The sequence below is a fragment of the Homo sapiens genome, chromosome 12 (assembly GCF_000001405.40).
Source record: "Homo sapiens chromosome 12, GRCh38.p14 Primary Assembly".
In the NCBI taxonomy this organism is placed as follows: domain Eukaryota; kingdom Metazoa; phylum Chordata; class Mammalia; order Primates; family Hominidae; genus Homo; species Homo sapiens.
In genome coordinates this window covers 64,538,828-64,558,944 of record NC_000012.12, presented here as the reverse complement: position 1 = coordinate 64,558,944, position 20,117 = coordinate 64,538,828, and the positions used below count along the sequence as shown (strand labels likewise).

The following is a 20,117-nucleotide window of genomic DNA, read 5'->3' as shown; positions in this document are numbered from 1 at the left end:
GGTAAAAGTGATGGGGAGCCAAGAGGGTGCAGCGTCATGTTGACACTAGAAAAAGGCAGGAAAGGAGGGGCAGGAGGCTGAGGGAGATCACTCCAGTCAGAAGCCACATCCCTTCAACGTTCCCACACTTGATCCAGTTTTCAGATCTGCAACCCATTGACTGAAGGGGTGGCCGGGTCCCTAGGGAGAAGGAGCCTGCCATACCACAGCAAATATCTACTGTAATAATCCTTACAGCCACTCCTCAGAAAGACCTCTGGCCATTTACTCAGGTGATTATAAAATAGAGAAAGGGGAATCCTCAGTCATTTCAAGGATTATTGGACATAGGGTTTAAATTGACTTGATTCCTTGAGTTACGCCAGCCCTTTTCTCACATTTTACCGGGCTCTGATAAAGAGAATGCTTGACTATGGTTGTAAGTAACCACACCCCCAGAACTGCCCACTATGAACTGGCTTCTGTCAGATCCACCAAGTCATAAAGTAGGAATAGAGGCATGTGGCTGGACATATAGGAATGGCCATGGAGTATGAAAATTTTTGTGTCACATATTAACAACCACCAGAAAGCATCTCCCATGGAAAAGGTACCGATCAACCAAGTAGGCAAAATGACTTATCCAGGTGACATTAGCTAATCTTCATCATCAGCCACTCCACAACAGGCACCATGGGCACATGAATGGAGCAGCTATGGTGGCGTAAATGGAGCCCAGGCATCATCCCAATGCGTGAACTCTCACATATCAAGGCTGATTTAGCTACTGCTGACTTTGAATGTCCAACTGTCAGCAAAACAGACAACAGGCCCTCAGTATGGCACTATTCCTTGAGCAAGAGAACTGGTCACTTTTTGGCAAGCCTACTATATTGGGCACCCTCCATCCTGGAGGGCCAGTGGTTGATCCTTAAAGGGATAGATATATATTCTGAGTATGTGTTTGGTTTTCTGCCCAAAAAGCCTCAGCCAGCATGACTGTCTGGGGTCTTATACAATGCCTGATCCATAGGTATGAAATCACTTATGACGTAGCATCTGACCAGGGGACCCAATTATAATACAGGAGGTGCAGGAGTGGACCCATGACCATGGGATCCACTGGTCATATCGTGCATTATACCATCCAGAAGCAGCTGGATGCAATAGCATGGCTTCTAAAGATAACTAAAGTACCAGCTCAGAGGCAACACCATGCAAATATCGAGTGCCATCTTCAGGATGAGGAATATGCATTAAATCAGAGATGTCTCTGTGGTGCTGTGTTCCCCGTAGAAAGAATAAATGGATCTGGGAACCAAGGGATGGAAGCAGGAGCAGCCTTACCTACCATCACTCCCAGTGACCCACTGGGAGACTCCGTGCTTCCCATCCCTACAACTCTAGGCTCTGCAGAATTGGAGGTCCAAAGGGGGTACACTTTTGCCAGGGAACACTGAATTGCAAGCTGCAGTTATTGCCAGGGTACTATGAACTCCTGTGAGACCAGCAGGTGAGAAGAGTCACCATTGTGGCAGGAGTAATTGACTCTAGTCAATTACCAGCAGGAAGAGGTAGGGCTGTGCTTATACATGGGGTCAGGGAAGAATTTATGTGGAACCCATGTGACCCAGTTGGGCACTTCCCGGTACTTCCTTGCCCCACTGTAACTGTGTATGGACATACAGAGCAACCCCCAGTCTCAAAACAGCATGATTGCCAGGAACTCAGGCTCTTAGGAGTGACAGTTTGGGTCACATAACAAGGTAAGCACTGAGAACTGCCAAGGTGAGAGCCTAAGGTTAAGGGAATTTAAGATGGGCAGGGAAAGCTGGGCACGGTGGCTCATACCTGTAATCCTAGCACTTTGGGAGGCCGAGGTGGGCGGATCACCTGAGGTCAGGAGGTCGAGATCAGCCTGGCCAACATGGGGAAACCCCGTCTGTACTAAAAATACAAAAATTAGCCAGGCATGGTGGCGCACGCCTGTAATCCCAGCTACTTGGGAGGCTGAGGCAGGAGAATCGCTTGAACCCGGGAAGCAGAGGTTGCAGTGAGCTGAGATGGCACCACTGCACTTCAGCCTGGGCGACGGAGCAAGACTTGTCTCAAAAAAAAAAAAAAAAAAAAAGGGGTAGGGGGCAGGGATGGAAGGAAGAAATGAATACCAATTGTGCCCCTGAGACCAACTGCAGCTATAGGGCTTTCCCCTCGGGAAGAGAAGAGGAGCTGCTCCCCAGTCTGCACGGAAAAGTAGATCTGGGATACAGGGGTGAACTGTGGCAGCTGTGAGTCCCCACTGCTCAGCTCTTCTGCTGTGGCGAGCATAACTGACTGATGGCCCCGGCTGCAGACCCCTGGACCCATTTTCTTGAAGACCACACTTCCTACAGGCTGCCCCCAGCCTGACGGAGCAAGGAGAAGGTACTCATGTAGGCCGATTCCTGCAAAAGGAAGGACTCCTTTAACAGGCAGGGGCAGGCTCTTTTATAGAAGAACTCCCCACTTGGCCAGATGCAGGATTACACCCCTGTAATCCCAGCACTTTGAGAGGCCAAGGTGGGAGGATCTCTTGAGCCCAGGAATTCGAGACCAGCCTGGGCAACATGGCAAGACCCCATCTCTACAAAAAAAATACCAAAAAATTAGCTGGGTGTGGTGTGCATGCCTGCAGTCCCAGGTACTGAAGAGGCTGAGGTGGGACCTGAGCACCAGAGGCTGAGGCTGCAGTGAGCCATGATCACGGCCACTGCACTCCAGCCTGGGTGACAGAGTGAGATCCTTTCCACTCCCCACTCAAGGTCTTTTTAGAACTGTGCTGCACCCTCAGACTCTTCCCACCCAATCTCTCACCTTCCCCTCTCTCTTCACAGGTGTCAGCTCTGTGTTGCTGTGGGAAGGCTTTTCTCTTTCTCTGGCTCCCTCCCCTTTATCCATCACAGACATTCCCACGGTAAATCTCTCTCATGTGCAATCCCATCTTGGCTTCTGCTTCTTTGATGACCCAACCTATGCAGAGGTGTATCCTGAAGCCTCATTAATCTATTTTAAGGGGGAGACTTTTTCTTTTTTCTTTTTTTTAATAGATCTCTTTATGTTGCCCAGGCTGGTCTCAAACTCCTGCTTCAAGTGATCCTCCTACCTTGGCCTCCCAAAGTTCTAGGATTACAGGCATGAGCCGTGACACCTGGCCAAGGTAGAGGCTTTTTTTTTTTTTGAGATAGAGTCTTGCTCTGTTGCCCAGGCTGGAGTGCAGTGGTGCGATCTCAGCTCACTGCAAGCTCCGCCTCCTGGCTTTACACCATTCTCCTGCCTCAGCCTCCCGAGTAGCTGGGACTATAAGCGCCCGCCACCATACCTTGCTAATTTTTTGCATTTTTAGTAGAGACAGGGTTTCACCATGTTAGCCAGGATGGTCTCAATCTCCTGACCTCATGATCCGCCTGCCTCGGCCTCCCAAAGTCCTGGGATTACAGGCGTGAGCCACCGTGCCCGGCCGGTAGAGGCTTTCTATGGTAAAACAAAAATACTGTTCCATCAGAGTTTCTTAAGAGGTATACATTTCTTGTTTAAGACATTAAGATTCTAGCTGGGCACAGTGGTGTATACCCATAGTCATAACTACTCAGAAGGCTGGGGTGAGAGGATCCCTTAAGCCCAGGAGTTCAAGTCCAGCCTGGACAACATAGCAAGACTACATTTCTAGAATCAAATTTTTTTTTTTTTGACAGAGTCTGACTCTGTCACCCACTGGAGTGCAGTGGTGCGATCTTGGCTCACTGTAACCTCCATCTCCCGGGTTCAAGCGATTCCCCCACCTCAGCCTCCCGAGTAGCTGGGATTACAGATGTGCACCACCACACCCAGCTGGTTTTTGTATTTTTAGTAAAGACGGGGTTTCACCATGTTGGCCAGGCTGGTCTTGGACTCCTGACCTCAGGTGATCCGCCCACCTTGGCCTCCCAAAGTGCTGGGATTACAGGCATGAGCCACCATAAGTGGCCTAAAAAATTTTTTTTCAAACAATAAAACTGTAAGATCCAGAATCTTCCAGTTTTCAAAATGCATTATTCATTTATCCAACAAATATTAATTGAGCCTCCACTATGTGCCAGGGACTGAGAATACAATGGTGAAGGCGGCAAAGTCCTGCTGCCAGAGCTTATATTCTAGTGGGAGAAGATAGACAATAAACAAGTAAAAAATACACAAAAGTAATTTCAAACATGTTGTAATTGTCATGGGAGTTGGGTTCACTGTCATCCCATTTCTAGTTCCCCTTGGGAGCAAAATTCCTTGAAAGAATTGTCTGTACTCTCAGTCTCTGATCCTTTTCCCCTTTCTATTTAAAACACATTTTGGGCCAGGCACCGTGGCTCATGCCTGTAATCCCAGCAGTTTAGGAAGCCAAGGTGGGTGGATCACCTGAGTTCAGGAGTTCGAGACCAGCCTGGCCAACATGGCGAAACCCTGTCTCTACTAAAAATACAAAAATTAGCCAGGCGTGGTGGTGCGTGCTTATGATCCCAGCTACTCAGGAAGCTGAGGCAGGAGAATCTCTTGAACCTAGGAGGCAAAGGTTGCAGTGAGCCAAGATCGCGCCACTGCACTCCAGCCTGGGCGACAAGAGTGAAACTCCATCTCAAAAACAAACAAATGAAAAAACCACACACACATTTCAATCTACTGAATTTGCTCTTGTCAGGATTAATCCCTCCATTTGCTAAGCCCAGTGCTCATCTGAATTTTGACAGCATTGACCCTGAACCTTTGCTTTCGTCACATTTTATGAGGGACAGTGACCCAGAGAAGAGAAAGATAGTCATAGGTCTGAAAAGAGAAGAATGTGTTCTGTTGTGTTCTTCAAATCAGAAACTGGGCCAATGGGCTAAAACTACAGGGAGACAAATGCATTCTTAATCCAAAAGTGCATAGTCCTAACCATGCCCCAGACAACTTTTTTTTTTCTTTCTTTTTTTTTTTTTTTTTGAGACAGGATCTCACTCTGTCACCCAGGCTGGAATGCAGTAGCGTAATCACAGCTCACTTCAGCCTTGGCCTCCCAGGCTCAGGGAATCCTCCCACCTCAGCCTCTCGAGTTGCTAAGATTACAAGTACATGCCACCATGCCTGGCTAATTTTTGTATTTCTTGTAGAGACAGGTTTTTGCCATGTTGGCCAGGTTGGTCTTGAACTCCTGGGCTCAAGTGATTCACCCACCTCCACCTCCCAAAGTGCTGGGATTACAGGTGTGAGCCACTGCACTCAGTCCAGACAACTTCTTAAATTAAGAAACTTCCCTTCTGGAGAAATGCTTACGTAGAGGCTGGATGGTCACCTGTTGGATTATAAGCCTGATTGGAAAGGAAGTCAGGTTGCCTGACATCCAAGGTCTCGTCTCCTTCTGAGATTTGGTGATTTCTGTGACCTGGACAGTGCATCAGATGTTTTTTGACCCCAAATGGCATACTTCTCTTTGCAAATGACATATTATCCTGAAGCATCTATCTTCTTGTAATTCTTAATAACTCTTCCAAATTTCTTTGCAGTAGTTTACCAGTACCACAATTGGCAAACTTTCAACTCTCCCTGGCCCAATGTCAGGAATATTTAACCCCCCGGTCCACCCTCACTTGTCAGCAGTTCTGCACTTAGACATATAGCTGTTTGCTTCCTATTTAAACTGAACCTAGTGTAATTATTGAACTGGACTTCTAATAATGATATTAACAAAGTTACCGAAAAGGAAAAGCTAACAACTTGCAGACCTCTAAAGTTGGTACTGAGCATATAAAATATCATGTGATATCAAAAAGAGATTGTGTGGAAAGTGCTGCAGGATGAGGGCAGACAGAAAACGTTTATAGACTCACAGGCCTTTGGTGTGTGGCACCACACCCGGCTAATTTTTGTATTTTTAGTGGAGATGGGGTTTTGCCATGTCGGCCAGGCTGGTCTCGATCTCCTGACCTCGTGATCCACCCGCCTTGGCCTCCCAAAGTACTGGGATTATAGGTGTGAGCCACCGAGCCCGGCCCCAAGTTGCTATTTTTGAAAATAAGGACGGAGGCCGGTGAGCAGAGATTGCGCCATTGCACTCCAGCCTGGGTGACAAGAGCGAAACTCCATCTCAAAAAAAAGAAAGAAAGAAAAAGAAAATAAGGATAGAATCAACCCAAATGCCCACCAATGATAGACTGGATAAAGGAAATGTGGTACATATACACTATGGAATACTATGCAGCCATATAAAGGAACGAGATCATGTCCTTTGCAGGGACATGGATGGAGCTGGAAGTCATTTTTCTCAGCAAACTAACTCGGGAACAGAAAACCAAACACCACATGTTCTCACTTATAAGTGGGAGCTGAACAATGAGAACACATGGACACAGGGAGGGGAACAACACACACTGGGGCCTGTCAGGAGGTGGGGTAGCGGGAGGGAGAGCCTTAGGAAAAATAGTTAGTGGATGTTGGGCTTAATACCTAGGTGATGGGTTGATAGGTGCAGCAAACTGCCATGGCACACATCTGCCTATGTAACAAATCTGCACATCCTGCACATGTACCCCAGAACTAAAAATAAAAATTAAATTTATCCTGCACATGTACCTGCACATCCTGCACATGTACCCCAGAACTAAAAATAAAATTAAAAAAAGAAAATAAGGGCAGTGGAACCCAGGGTTCAAATCTCTTGCCCGAGTTCTCCTGGGTCTCAGGTCTCAGCTTTCCCTCTACCCTTTCCTTTCTCTCTTTCCTCCTTCCCTTTCTAGCCAAGCGCCCTGGCTCCCCAAAGTAAATTTTCCCATGTCCTTTAAAAAACAAAGCACAGAGAAAATGTTGCTTGCTCAGAGTCACATTACAATATTTAAATAAAACTAACTCTAAGGCCCCCCTAAATTTAGGGTCTGGGTGTGACTGCATTGTTTCTGTTCTTGGACCAACAAACCCCAGGGGTTTTCTGATGGCTTTTGGAAAGCTGTTTGCTCTTGTGTAAGGCGGGTGGACGTTGCTGTGCACATCTCGTAATCTATTTGAAGATAATATCTCTCAGTCTCACAGAAAAACTGAAAATATTTTGGAAAACATTTCGTAGTTGTAAAACTAGCTGTGGACCTTTGGCAAGTTGGTTCGCCTCTCTTTAACTGAAGACTGCTGTTAACCACAAACACGCTTACAAACCATGTGTCTATGCCAAGTTCTAGGCTAAATGGACAAATACGATTGTTGTGAGTATTAAAGAAAACAATAATATTAGTTAACATTAATTGAAGTTTCCCACCAAACACCAGGCTAAGTACTTTTCTATGCATTGCCTAATTAAATCTCCACAGCAATGCTAAGTAGTAGACATGATTACATTTACTACATGCATATTATTTTTGAGACAGGGTCTTACTCTGTCTCCCAGATTGGAGTGCAGTGGCATGATCATGGCTCACTGCAGCCTCAACCTCCCAGGTTCAAGTGATCGTCCCACCTCAGCCTCCTAAGTAGCTGGGACTACAGGCGCGCACCACCATGCCCGGCTAATTTTTGGCATTTTTTGTAGAGCCAGGGTTTTGCCATGTTGCCCAGCCTGGTCTCAAACTCCTGGGCTCAAGTGATCCACTCGCCTCAGCCTCCCAAAGTGCTGGGATTACAGGAGTGAGCCTATTAAATACATTTTGCATGTTATAGTGCCCGCCTATTACATACATTTTATGGATGAGATTAAGTGACTTAACTAAGTCCATTCAGCAAATATGCGGCTGTATACCTTGACCGTCCTTGCTCTTAATCTGTGCATAGGTACTTTGTACATGTCTGGTACTGTAAAGTGCTGTAGAAGTAAGTCTAGTGGCCATCTTTGGGGGTTATGGATATTCCTAACATCTTCCTCTGGTCTCTGCCCCTACTTCTGAATTTGAATAAGGGTGAAACCAAGATCAAACAGCCATCTCGGGCAAGCTTGAGGAGGGAAAAGGAGTCATAGAAACAGTAGCCTAAGGAATGTGTGGGTGGAGGTGGGGTGCTGTGGGTTGAAGTATTCCCTTAGCAGTGAGCCGGCAGGATTGGAACATTTTCGGGCTTTATGGACATGAGCATCAGCTCTTTCTCTCTTTTTTTTTTCCTTTCTTTCTTTCTTTTTTTTTTTTTGAGATGGAGTCTCTCTCCCTCTCTCAGGCTGGACTGCAGTGGCTAGATCCTGGCTCACTGCAACCTCCTCCTGGGCTCACGCAATTCTCCCACTTCAGCCTTCCAAGTAGCTGGGGTTACAGGCACCCACCACCACTCCTGGCCTCCTTTTTCTTTTCGTTTTTTGGAGACGGAGTCTTGCTCTGTTGTCCAAGCTGGAGTGCTGTGCCACAATCTTGGCTCACTGCAACCTTGCCTCCCGGGTTCAAGCGAATCTCCTACGTCAGCCTCTGGGATTACAGGTGTGCACCACCACACCTGGCTAATTTTTGTATTTTTAGTAGAGATAGGGTTTCGCCACGTTGGCCAGGCTGGTCTTGAACTCCTGACCTCAGGTGATCCACCCACCTCGGCCTCCCAAAGTGCTAGGATTACAGGCATGGGGCACTGTGCCTGGCTATTTCTCTTTTCTTTTCTTTCTCTTCTCTTCTCCTTTTCTTTCTCCTCTCCTCTCCTCCTCTCCCCTCTTCTCTCTTCTCCCTTTCTTTCCCCTTCTCGTTTCCTTTCCCTTTCTTGTTTTCCCCTTACATGTTAAATATATTGAAGAATAATTTACACAAAATAAAACGCATTCTTCTTTGTTTCCTTAGTTTTAAAGCAAGATTTATCTCCTTTAGATTCCCAGTAGGAAAAGAGAAAAGAGAGGGCAGGAAGGAGAACTTTAATGGAGGTGGGAAGGGGGTGGGGGGCGCTGAGACTATAGATAAAATCTCTGTGTTATTTCTTCTTTTGTAAAATCACTTAATTTCTGTAAAACTTAATCACCTCCCTCATCAATCAAAGTGAGAATAATAATATCTTGATAGACTTGTGGTAAGCATGAAAGAATATCTGACAGACACAAAGAAGCTTAATTCATGTTAACAATGAAATGATATTGATATGATTGTGTCTAAACCTTAGGACTGTGCAAGGAGTGCTCAAAAACACAAGCAATCATTAGATATTTATTGTTTTTCTTTGAATCCGTGGCACACAGACAAACATATAGGAGTCAATGCTAGAGCTCCCTCTGGTGGCTTTGCTGTCACAAACACACCAACTACTGTATCCCTACCTCCGCTTATGGGGCTCAGGAGAGAGAGGCTGTGCTGGCTGCTGGCCGCCATGTCAACACCCCCCACAGGAGGGGAGCTTGGTAGAGGCCTTGCTACAGGTGCTTTCATCAGAAAGTTTTACCATTGACTCCTAATGATTAAGAATAATTAATTCCCCAGGTGTGAAATTGAACTGTGTGAAATTAGCTGGTATTGAATCTTTACTGACAGAAATGGTAACTTTATGTCATTGAATCTAGTAATTGCTGCTATAATTAAAAATCTGAGTGTGTAAAGTAGTAAATCAGTTACAAAGGAAACAAACATACAACAAAGGAAGCAAAGTGCACAATGACTTTAAGAATGACTTTGTGGCCTCTGATTAGCTTTCAACATTTAAAAATTCTTTTTAGAGATAGGGTCTCACTATGTTGTCCAGGCAGTTCTCAAATTTCTGGGCTCAAGTGATCCCCCCAAAGTGTTGGGATTATAGGCCAGAACCACTGCACCCGGTCTTCTGTAGGATCTACAACTGGCAGAAGAACAGTCTGTCTCTCCACATTTAGTCAAACCCCTCAGGGATTTTAATAACTAGGACTGTTTTCCTTATTTCCAGTATCTCTTCTAACACCTTCACCCTTATGTCCCCACCTTACCCCAATTAGAAATTCAAGTGTTGTTGGGCTATCGTACCCCACTTTTCTGGGAGTTCACTCAGACCTTCCCTTTCCTTTCCCACTTGGGAAAGGATCCACTCTCAGGGCCTTGAAGACAATTGATTGTGAAGTCCACATCCTCTGAGAAAGACCAGATCAAGGGCTTACAAAAATTACTAACCTCTGAGTCTTAACTTCACTAATGACAATTTGAAAATTGGAACAGATCAAACCACTGGATCATTCCCTCACCCTGCCCACCAAATCTTAAAGCACTAAGCCCTTTAAAATTGAATTTTAAAATGGATTTAAAATTTAAAGATTTTAGGTGGAATACATTACTCAGGAGACTATGGATGAATTTATAGTGAGCTAAGTTTGTTTGTGAACTGCTGGAAAGGGTATAAACTGGTATGAAGTTCCTATTAAAGAAGTTGGCAGTATGTATTAAGGGCTATTAAAACTCTTGACCGATAAATCCTCCTTCAGAATCTGTATTAAGGAAACAAGAAGAAATGTAGGAAAAGATTTTCATACAAAGATATTGTTGCAGCTTCATGTTCAACAGTAAGAAATGCACCAAAAGAAGTAAAATTGTTGGCCAGGTGCTGTGGCTCATGCCTATAATCCTGGCACTTTGGGAGGCCAAGGCAGGAGGATAGCTTGAGCCCAGGAGTTCGAGACCAGCCTGACCAAGATGGTGAGACCTCTTCTCTACAAAAAAAATAAATAAATAAAAATAAAAAAAACTAGCTGGGCATGATGGTGCCTGCCCATGGTCCCAGCTACTTGGGAGGCTGAGGATCCCTTGAGCCCAGGAGATCAAGACTGCAGTGAGCTGTGATTGCGCCACTGCACTCCAGCCTGGGCGACAGAGTGAGACCCTGTCTCAAAATAAATAAATAAAATACAATAAAAAATTTAAAAAGATATGAAGTAGAATTGTTAAATCAATATGAAAGATTCATAAATATTACACCTTAGAGCTCACTTTTTCAGAGAATATAGAGCGGCAGGAAACATGGTCACATTGTAAGGAAGGGTGAAAACATATCTATGTCTGTATCTATCCAAATACTGATTTCCAGTTTTACGAAGAAATACATATAGACAATGGACACTGAAAAAAGAGAGGAATGAAGGACACTAAAATACTAAGGGCAATTATATCTCTCTGGGTGGTGGGATTATAGGCAATTTTAACGTTTTTCTTAACCTTTTTACATTTTCCACAGTTTCTTTAATAATCATGCATTGTTTTTATAATCACAAAAATATATGCAATACAACAGGAATTTGATCCTGAATCAAGGTTGTGGGGGGGAAGAATTTGATTTGAAAAATCGATCAAAGTTGAGTTTCATCTTCTTCATGGTATTGAATTTAGAAACTGAATACCAGCTTTCATCAAACTCTAAAGCTGACAAATAACTAAATATGTTTTAAAATATTTTATAGTTGAAAAGTTCCTTCCTTCCTTCCTTCCGTCCTTCCTTCCCTTCTTTTTTCTTTCTCTTTTTTTTGAGACGGAGTCTCACTCTGTTGCCAGGCTGGAATGCAGTGACATGATCTCCGCTCACTGCAACCTCCGCCTCCTGCGTTCAAGCGATTCTCCTGCCTCAGCCTCCTGAGTATCTGGGACTACAGGTGTGTCCCACCACGCCCAGTTAATTTTTGTATTTTTAGTAGAGATGGGGGTTTCATTATGTTGGCCAGGATGGTCTCAATCTCTTGACCTTGTGATCCGCCTGCCTCAGCCTCCCAAAGTGCTGGGATTACAGGCGTGAGTCACCGTGCCTGGCTTTTTTTTTTTTTTTTAGATCAAGTCTCTCTCTGTCACACAGACTGGAGTACACTGGTGTGATCTCGGCTCACTGCAACTTCCACCTCCTGGGTTCAAGCAATTCTCGTGCCTCAGTCTCCTGAGTAGCAGGGATTACAGGTGTGTGCCACCACACTTGGCTCATTTTTTAATATTTAGTAGAGACGGGGTTCACCATGTTGGCCAGGCTGATCTTGAATTCCCAGGCTCAAGCAATCCACATGCCTCGGCTTCCCAAATGTTGGGATTACAGGTGTGAGCCACCATGCCTGGCCCCAACAATCTTTCAATGTCCTCTCCATATCAAAAAGTGGGAGCAAAATAAGAATGAGGGAATGGTTTTTGTGGTTCTTGGCCAAATTCTATAGCTTCTAGGAGTTTCTGCTTAAATAGTTCTTTTCAAGGACCAAATTGAAACCTTTCTGAAGTTTATCGCTCTATCAGTGCTTGAAGCCAACAACACTGGGGATTATAATTGGGTTGAGAGATCTCCTACATAATCAGCTGACACACATATCCAAAAGGCTAAAATCCTGGGTCTTGAGATATTGACAAGATTTAGAATTCTGTTAATGACTTGAGAACCATTGCATTTATCATTCATCACCTTTAAAGCCAATAAGAAAAAAAGTTAAGTGCAGTATCAAATCAATTCACAAGAGTAGACTGATTTGATAGACTATTAAAACAATGTATTGGCCAGGTGCAGTGGCTCACGCCTTTTATCCCAGCACTTTGGGGGGCCTAGGCGGGTGTATCACGAGGTCAGGAGATCGAGACCATCCTGGCTAACATGGTGAAACCCCGTCTCTACTAAAAATACAAAAAACTAGCTGGGCGTGGTGGCAGGCGCCTGTAGTCCCAGTTACTTGGGAGACTGAGGCAGGAGAATGGCATGAACCCGGGAGGCGGAGCTTGCAGTGAGCCAAGATCGCGCCACTGCACTTCAGCCTGGGCAACAGAGCGAGACTCCGTCTCAAAATAAATAAATAAATAAATAAAACAATGTATTACAGCACCACACTTCGGGTATGCAAAAGTATTTGGGAAATAATCTAATACTTATGATGCCTTATGAAGTACGTATCATTATCACCTGCGTGTATATACAGAAAATTATGTGCTGGAGTGGCATTTTTGGCATTCTTTTTTTTTTTTTTTTTTTTTTTTTGAGACGGAGTCTTGCTCTGTCGCGGAGGCTGGAGCGCATTGGCGTAATCTCAGCTCACTGCAAGCTTCGCCTCCCTGGTTCACGCCATTCTCCTGCCTCAGCCTCCAGAGTAGCTGGGACTACAAGCGCCTGCTGCCACGTCCCGCTAATTTCTTTGTATTTTTAGTAGAGACGGGGTTTCACTGTGTTAGCCAGGATGGTCTCTCTCTTTTTTCTTCGAGGCAGGGTCTCACTCTGTCACCCAGGCAGGAATGTAGTGGTGTGATCATGGCTCACTGCAGCCTCAACCTGCAGGGCTCAAGCGATCTTCCTGCCTCATTTTAAATTTTTTTGTAGAGATGAGGTCTCACTACATTGCGAGGCTGGTCTCGAACTCCTGGGCTCCAGTGATCTTCCTGGCTTGGCCTCCCGAAGTGCTGGGATTACAGGCATGAGCCATTGCGGCCCGCCAAGAGGAGCTTTCTTAAATGAGGGGATTCTCACCCTAATCTAGAATAATTTTATGCTCAACCCATTGGGAAGCCGCCTTTCACGTGATCTTTATAAACCCGTCTATCAAATCAAATCTGGCACTCTCTAAGACATCAATTTCTGAATCTTAAATTCTGTAATTTTATAAGAATTGAACTAAAATAAATTAAATATCAAAATACTTCATCATTTTCTAAAATTTTTAGAGCCACATCAGAGAGCTCAGTATTACTTTTTCAAAATCAATATAAGAAAACAATGCGAGTTACTCAAGTATCAGTAGTTCAGGTACCTTTTGAGAAACTTTGCAAAGCATTTGTTTAAACCTTACACTTGAACTCCACATTTTTTTCCAAGCCAAACAAGCATATATTCATTCTCCCTAGAGCTGCTCATAATACCTCTATTATCCTCGCTGCTGTCTCCCAAGTCATCCTATTAAATTACAAGCTGCATCCCCAATCCAAGCTTTTTTTCCTGACATGAAGGCATTTTCTTAATTTAAAGGCTAGTACAACTTTGCACAAACTCCAATCGGCTCCAGTTGTAAACTTCACATCAGATACTACATAAAACGAAGCCATCAATCTGCCAGAAAAGCTATTGTTCATGCCCTTTACAGATTCCCCATTAGCTTTCTGTGTCCCTGCCAAGTGTAATTGAGTTGAATGGGAATTTAGCATATGTAAACCACACACGCTGAACACACTCTTCTAAACAGCTATTACTGTTCTGATCAAGAGTTAACTTTGTTAGGGAAAAACAAGTGGCAAACTCATGTATTTGGTCTTTTGTACTCAGCATTGGTCAGAGGGCAGTGAAGAATCAGCCTCTTGGCCTAAACTGAAAATTAGTTTCATTACCATATGCAGGAAGGATAAATATTGCTGCCTAGTTTCAGTAATTCTATCCAGACATGCCTGTGAGCTCCCAGAAACTGACAAGACACTCAGATAATTTAATGCAAGTGCCCCCAAACCGTTGAAAAAATAGCCTTTTTTTTTTTTGAGACAGGGTCTCACTCTGTTGCCCAGGCTTAAGGGCAGTGGTGCGGGTCCCAGCTCACTGCAGCCTTAACCTTGCCAGCTCAAGTGATCCTCCCACCTCAGCCTCCCAGGTAGTTGGGACCACAGGCGTGCACCACTGTGTCTGGAATTGGTGGGTTCTTGGTCTCAGGGACTTCAAGAATGAACCCGCGGACCCTCCCGGTGAGTATTACAGTTCTTGAAAGCAGCATGTCTGGAGTTTGTTCCTTCTGATGTGTTAGAAGTTTGTTCCTTCTGGTTGGTTCGTGGTCTCGCTAGCACAGTACTGAAGCTGCAGACCTTCGAAGTGAGTGTGAGAGCTCTTAAGGCAGTGCGTCTGGAGTTGTTCATTCCTCCCGGTGGGTTCGTGGTCTCGATGGCTTCACGAGTGAAGCTGCAGACCTTCGCGATGAGCGTTTCACGGTGGGCGTTACAGCTCATAAACGCAGTGTGACCCAAAGAGTGAGCAGTACCAGGATTTATTGCAAACACCTAAAGAACTGTGCGGAACGGGACCCCCACCGAGGTGCCAAGGCGTGCTCTGGCAGCCTGCTTTATTCTCTTATCTGGCCCCACCCACATCCTGCTGATTGGTCCATTTTACAGAGAGCCAATTGGTCTGTTTTACAGAGAGCTGATTGGTCCGTTTTGAGAGGCTGCTGATTGGTGCGTTTACAATCCCTGAGATAGACACAAAAGTTCTCCATGTCCCCACTAGATTAGCTAGGTACAGAGTGCTGATTGGTGTATTTACAAAGCCTGAGCTAGACCCAGAGTGCTGATTGGTGCATTTACAAACCTTGAGCTAGATACTGAGAGCCAATTAGTGTATTCACAATCCCTTAGCTAGACATAAAGGTTCTCCAAGTCCTCACTAGACTCAGGAGCCCAGCAGGCTTCACCCAGTGGATCGCGCACTAGGGGCGCAGGCGGAGCCACCTGCCAGTCCCGCGCCGTGCGCCCGCACTCCTCAGCCCTTGGGCAGTGGATGGGACCGGGTGCCATGGAACAGGGGGTGGGGCTTGTCGGGGAGGCTCGGGCCGTGCAGGAGCCCACGGCGGGGGGCGGGGGAGAGCGGGGGGCGGCGGGGGGAGGGTGTGGGGGAGTGGGGGAGTGGGGGGTGGGCAGGCGGGTGGGGAGCGGGGGGCGGGCGGGCACGGGGGGGGCGGGCGGGGAGCCGGGGGGCGGGAAACTCAGGCATGGCTGGCTGCAGGTCCCGAGCCCTGCCCCGTGGGGAGGCAGCTAAGGCCCGGCGAGAAATCGAGCGCAGCGCTGGTGGGCCGGCACTGCTGTGGGACCCAAAGCACCCTCCGCAGCTGCTAGCCCGGGTGCTAAGCCCCTCACTGCCTGGGCGGGCGGCGCCGGCCGGCCACTCCAAGTGCGGGGCCCGCCACTCCAAGTGCGGGGCCCGCCACTCCAAGTGCGGGGCCCGCCACTCCAAGTGCGGGGCCCGCCACTCCAAGTGCGGGGCCCGCCACTCCAAGTGCGGGGCCCGCCACTCCAAGTGCGGGGCCCGCCACTCCAAGTGCGGGGCCCGCCACTCCAAGTGCGGGGCCCGCCACTCCAAGTGCGGGGCCCGCCACTCCAAGTGCGGGGCCCCGCCAAGCCCACGCCCACCCGGAACTCTATCTAGCTGGCGCGCAGCCCCGGTTCCCGCCCGTGCCTCTCCCTCCACACCTCCCTGCAGACTGAGGGAGCCGCCTCCGGCCTCGGCCATCCCAGGAAGGGGCTCCCACAGTGCAGCGGCGGGCTGAAGGGCTCTTCAAGTGGGGCCAGAGTGGGCACCGAGGCCGAGGAGGCGCCAAGAGCGAGCGAGGGCTGCCAGCATGCTGTCACCTCTCACCACCATGCCCTATTAATTTTTGTAGTTTTTGTAGAGATGAGGTTTTGCCATGTTGCTCAGGCTGGTCTTGAATTCCTGGCCTTAAGCAATCCACCCACCTCGGCCTCCCAAAGTGTTGGGATTACAGGCATGAGTCACTGTGCTTGGCCGAAAAAATAGCCTATCTTTTAAGAAGAACCTTGATGTGTCAGGAGAGGGGATGCTATAGTTGAGTCTGCAGAGGAGCAGGCATCACTGCCAGCTGTACCCCTTCCCTTCTGGTCTCTCAGCAAACCAGGAGAATAGAGTGAGAATGGATGTGCTGGCTGAAACCAGGTTGAGGATCTACTAGTTCTACCAGTTGAAGATCTTTGCTTTAACCAGTAAAACCTGACAGATTTCCCCAGCACAGTGTTCATGCTCAGGTTCTTTTGTTTTGTTTTTTTGAGGTGGGATCTTACTCTGTCACTTAGGCTGGATGGAGTACAGTGGCAGAATCTCAGCTTAATGCAACCTCCACCTCTGGGGCTTATGTGATCCTCCTGCCTCAGCCTCTTGAGTGGCTGGGTGAGTAGCTGGAACCACAGGCACATGCCACCACACCCAGCTAATTTATTTTTATTTTTATTTTTATTTTTTGTAGAGATGCGGGTCTCACCATGTTGCCCAGGTTGGTCTCAGACTCACGCTGAGGCTCTTCATCGGATTAAAAAAAAAGTCAACACACATTTACAGTTCATGTCCTATTTTCCGCAGCAGGAAGTATGTCTGTTAACAAGATTGCATCCTGAATGTGGCAAGTAATCAAGCAGATGAAAGCCTCATATCTTATGACAAATCTGTTGGATAAAACTACTGATATACTCTATCTTATTGTTTCTAAAATTATAACCCAAGATTAAGCTTCAGATGCAACAGGCGGCAAGGAGAGAAGCAATGGCAATGAATGAACCTGAGCTCGATCCTCTGAAGATACATACGTAAGCCATGGAGATAAAAAGACCATTCTATGGGGTATGAGTGATGGGAGTGACCGAAACGCACGATGTCCACAAGCACCAATAGTGCCTACCTGACTGTTCTTTTTGATTGAATATCTTACTTCAGAAGTCGGCATGCAGCTTGATACGTTCCCATTTTGTGGATAATCCAGATGTACCAGGTCTCGGCAGTGAGCATGACATATATATTTACCCTCTGAAAGAGAAAGCACGTTAGGTTCCCAGTTAGGTCTGTGTCGTTCTCTGTTCATCCAACAGGCCAAGGGAAATTGAACCCCCTCCCCTGCTCAAAAAGCCAGCATTCAACCTGGAATAATAAAAATGAGTTTGTGTGGGGCCCATCTGTTCACAAGGCAGAGCCATTTAACCTAGACTATCTTGGCCTCCTCTGAAATTCAATCACACTATCACTGAATATCTTTCACAAAGACAGGAGATTAGGCTACGATACATTTTTTTTCTTTTTGCAAGGTTTAAATTAAGACAACATTGGCCGGGCGCTGTGGCTCATGCCTGTAATCCCAGCACTTTGGGAGGGCAAGGCGGGCGGATCTATTGAGCCCAGGAGTTCAATACCAGCCTGGGCAACATGGCGAAACCCCATCTCTGTTAAAAATACAAAAATCAGCCAGATGTGGTGGTGGGTGCCTATAGTCCCAGCTACTTGGGAGGCTGAGGCAGGAGAATCCCTTGAACCTGGGAGGTGGAGGTTCCCAAGTGTAATCCCAAAGTGCTAGGATTACAGGCATGAGCCACCACACTGGCCTTACTTAGAAAAAAAAAAAATTCCAGCCTGGGCAACATGGCAAGACCCTATCTCTACAAAAAAAATACAAAAATTTGCCAGGTGTGGTGGCACACACCTGTAGTCCCAGCTACTTGGGAGGTTGAGTTGAGAGGATTGCTTGAGCCCAGAAGGTCGAGGCTGCAGTGAGCTTTGTTCAACCACTGCACTCCAGCCTGGGCAACAGACTGAGACCCTGTCACCAAACGCAGTGATGCAATCATAGCTTACTGCAGTCTTGACCTCCTAGGCTCAAGCGATCCTCCTGACTTGGCCTCCCAAAGTGTTGAGATTACAGGCATAAAACACCAGCACAGCCTCACCTATCAAATATTCAAAATTCATACATGTTGTAGCATATATCAGTTCTTCATTTCTTTTTACAGCTGAATAATATTCCTTTATATGAATGTAACACATTTTGTTTATTCTTTTATCTGTTGATGGCCATTTAGGCTGTTTCCCCTCTTTGGCTGTTATAAATAATAGCCAAACATTCATGGACAAGTTTTCCTGTGTACATAATGTTTTCCATTTTCTTGGATATATACCTTGGAGTAGGATTGCTGGGTCATATAGTAATTCTAAGTTTAACTTTTTGAGGAACTATCAAACTGTTTCCAAAGTAAGTATTTTTAAAACATTTACCTTAGCCACATTAAGACACATAAATAAGAGCTGCCACAATTTTATTCACCAGCAAATAGATTTCTCTCATCAAGAGTCTGGTAATGTAACCCACTGAAGACAGGTCTAACATAATGAAATTTTTAAGGAGCCGTCTTAAGAAAGAACTCCAATTGGCTTCAGTTGTAAACTTCACATCAGATACTACTTAAAATGAAGCCATTAGCCTGCCAACTATCTCATTGTTTCTAAAATTATAACACAGGGTTAAGCTTCAGATAAAACAGGCAGTAAGGAGAGAAGCAATGGCAATGAATGAATCTGAACTCAGTTCTCTGAAGATACGTATGTAAGCCATCGAGATAAAAAGACCATTCTATGGGCTATGAGTGATGGGACTGCCTGAAACCCACATGTCCACAATATTCTATCATACAGATAGACTATATTAACAGATTTAATAATAAAGTATATTAACTGATTTAATAATAAGTTTATTATTGGTCTATCTGTATGATGGAATATTGTGATCAGTAAATAATGTTGGAGAATAATAATATTTAATGGTATGAGAAATTTTTTTTTTCTTTTGAGACAAGGTCTCACTCTATTGCCCAGGGTGGAGTGCAGTGGGCAATCACAGCTTGCTGCAGCCTCAACCATCTGGGTTTAAGCAGTCCTCCCACCTCAGCCTCTGAAGTAGCTGTGACTACAGGCATATACTACCATGCTTGCCTAATTTTTGTATTTTTTGTAGAGATGGGGTTTCACCATGTTGCCTAGGCTGGTCTTGAACTCCTGGGCTCAAGTGATCCGCCCCCTTGGCCTCCCAAGGTGCTGGGACTACAGATATAAGCCACCGCACCCAGGCAAGAAATTGTTCATGAGAACAATCAAATTACAAAAGAGAAGATATGTTATGATTCTGCTATGGTTTGAATGTGTCCCCCAAATTTCATGTGTTGGAAACTTAATTCCCAAATTCATGCGTTGATAGTATTTGAAGGTAAGGCCTTTGGGAATTAATTAGGATTAGATGAGGCCATCAGGGTAGGGCCCCCATGATGAGACCGGTGGCTTTATAAGAAGAGTAAGAGACACCTGAGCTCACACACATGCTCCTGCCCCCTTGCCATGTGATGCCCTCTGCCATGTTATGATGCAGCAAGAAGGGCTTCACCAGATGCCCCTTGACCTAGAACTTACCAGCTTGAAGAACTGTAAGAAATAAATTCCTTTTATTTTTAAATTACTCTTTCTGTGGTATTCTGTTATAGCAATGCAAAACATACTAAGACAATTCCAATTTTTATTTTTATTGAGATGGAGTCTCATTCTGTCACCCAGGCTGGAGTGCAGTGGCATGATGTCGGCTCACTGCAACCTCCACCTCCCAGGTTCAAGTGATTCTCCTGACTCAGCCTCTTGAGTAGCAGGGATTATAGGCATGCACCACCAGGCCTGGCTAATTTTTTGGTATTTTTTAGTAGAGATGGAGTTTCACCGTTGGCCCAGGCTGGTCTCAAACTCCTGACTTC

The 20,117-nt window shown here is 45.9% G+C and overlaps 1 protein-coding gene across 2 annotated transcripts in view, besides 1 other annotated feature; it reads right to left on the bottom strand.

The window, feature by feature from the left end:
* RASSF3 (Ras association domain family member 3) overlaps positions 1 to 20,117 on the bottom strand; it is a 190,601-nt gene that overhangs the window by 138,620 nt on the left and 31,864 nt on the right. For both annotated transcript variants that reach the window (XM_047428712.1, XM_047428711.1), the window contains exon 2: positions 17,240 to 17,364. In XM_047428712.1, coding sequence (XP_047284668.1) covers positions 17,240 to 17,364 — 125 coding nt within the window. The remainder of the gene's footprint in view (positions 1 to 17,239; positions 17,365 to 20,117) is intronic.
* Positions 9,293 to 9,342: an enhancer, noted in NCBI's record as "active region_6594". NCBI's record gives its function as "activates an Ori minimal core promoter by ATAC-STARR-seq in GM12878 lymphoblastoid cells {active_cell/tissue: GM12878}" and the evidence as "EXISTENCE:reporter gene assay evidence [ECO:0000049][PMID:35858748]".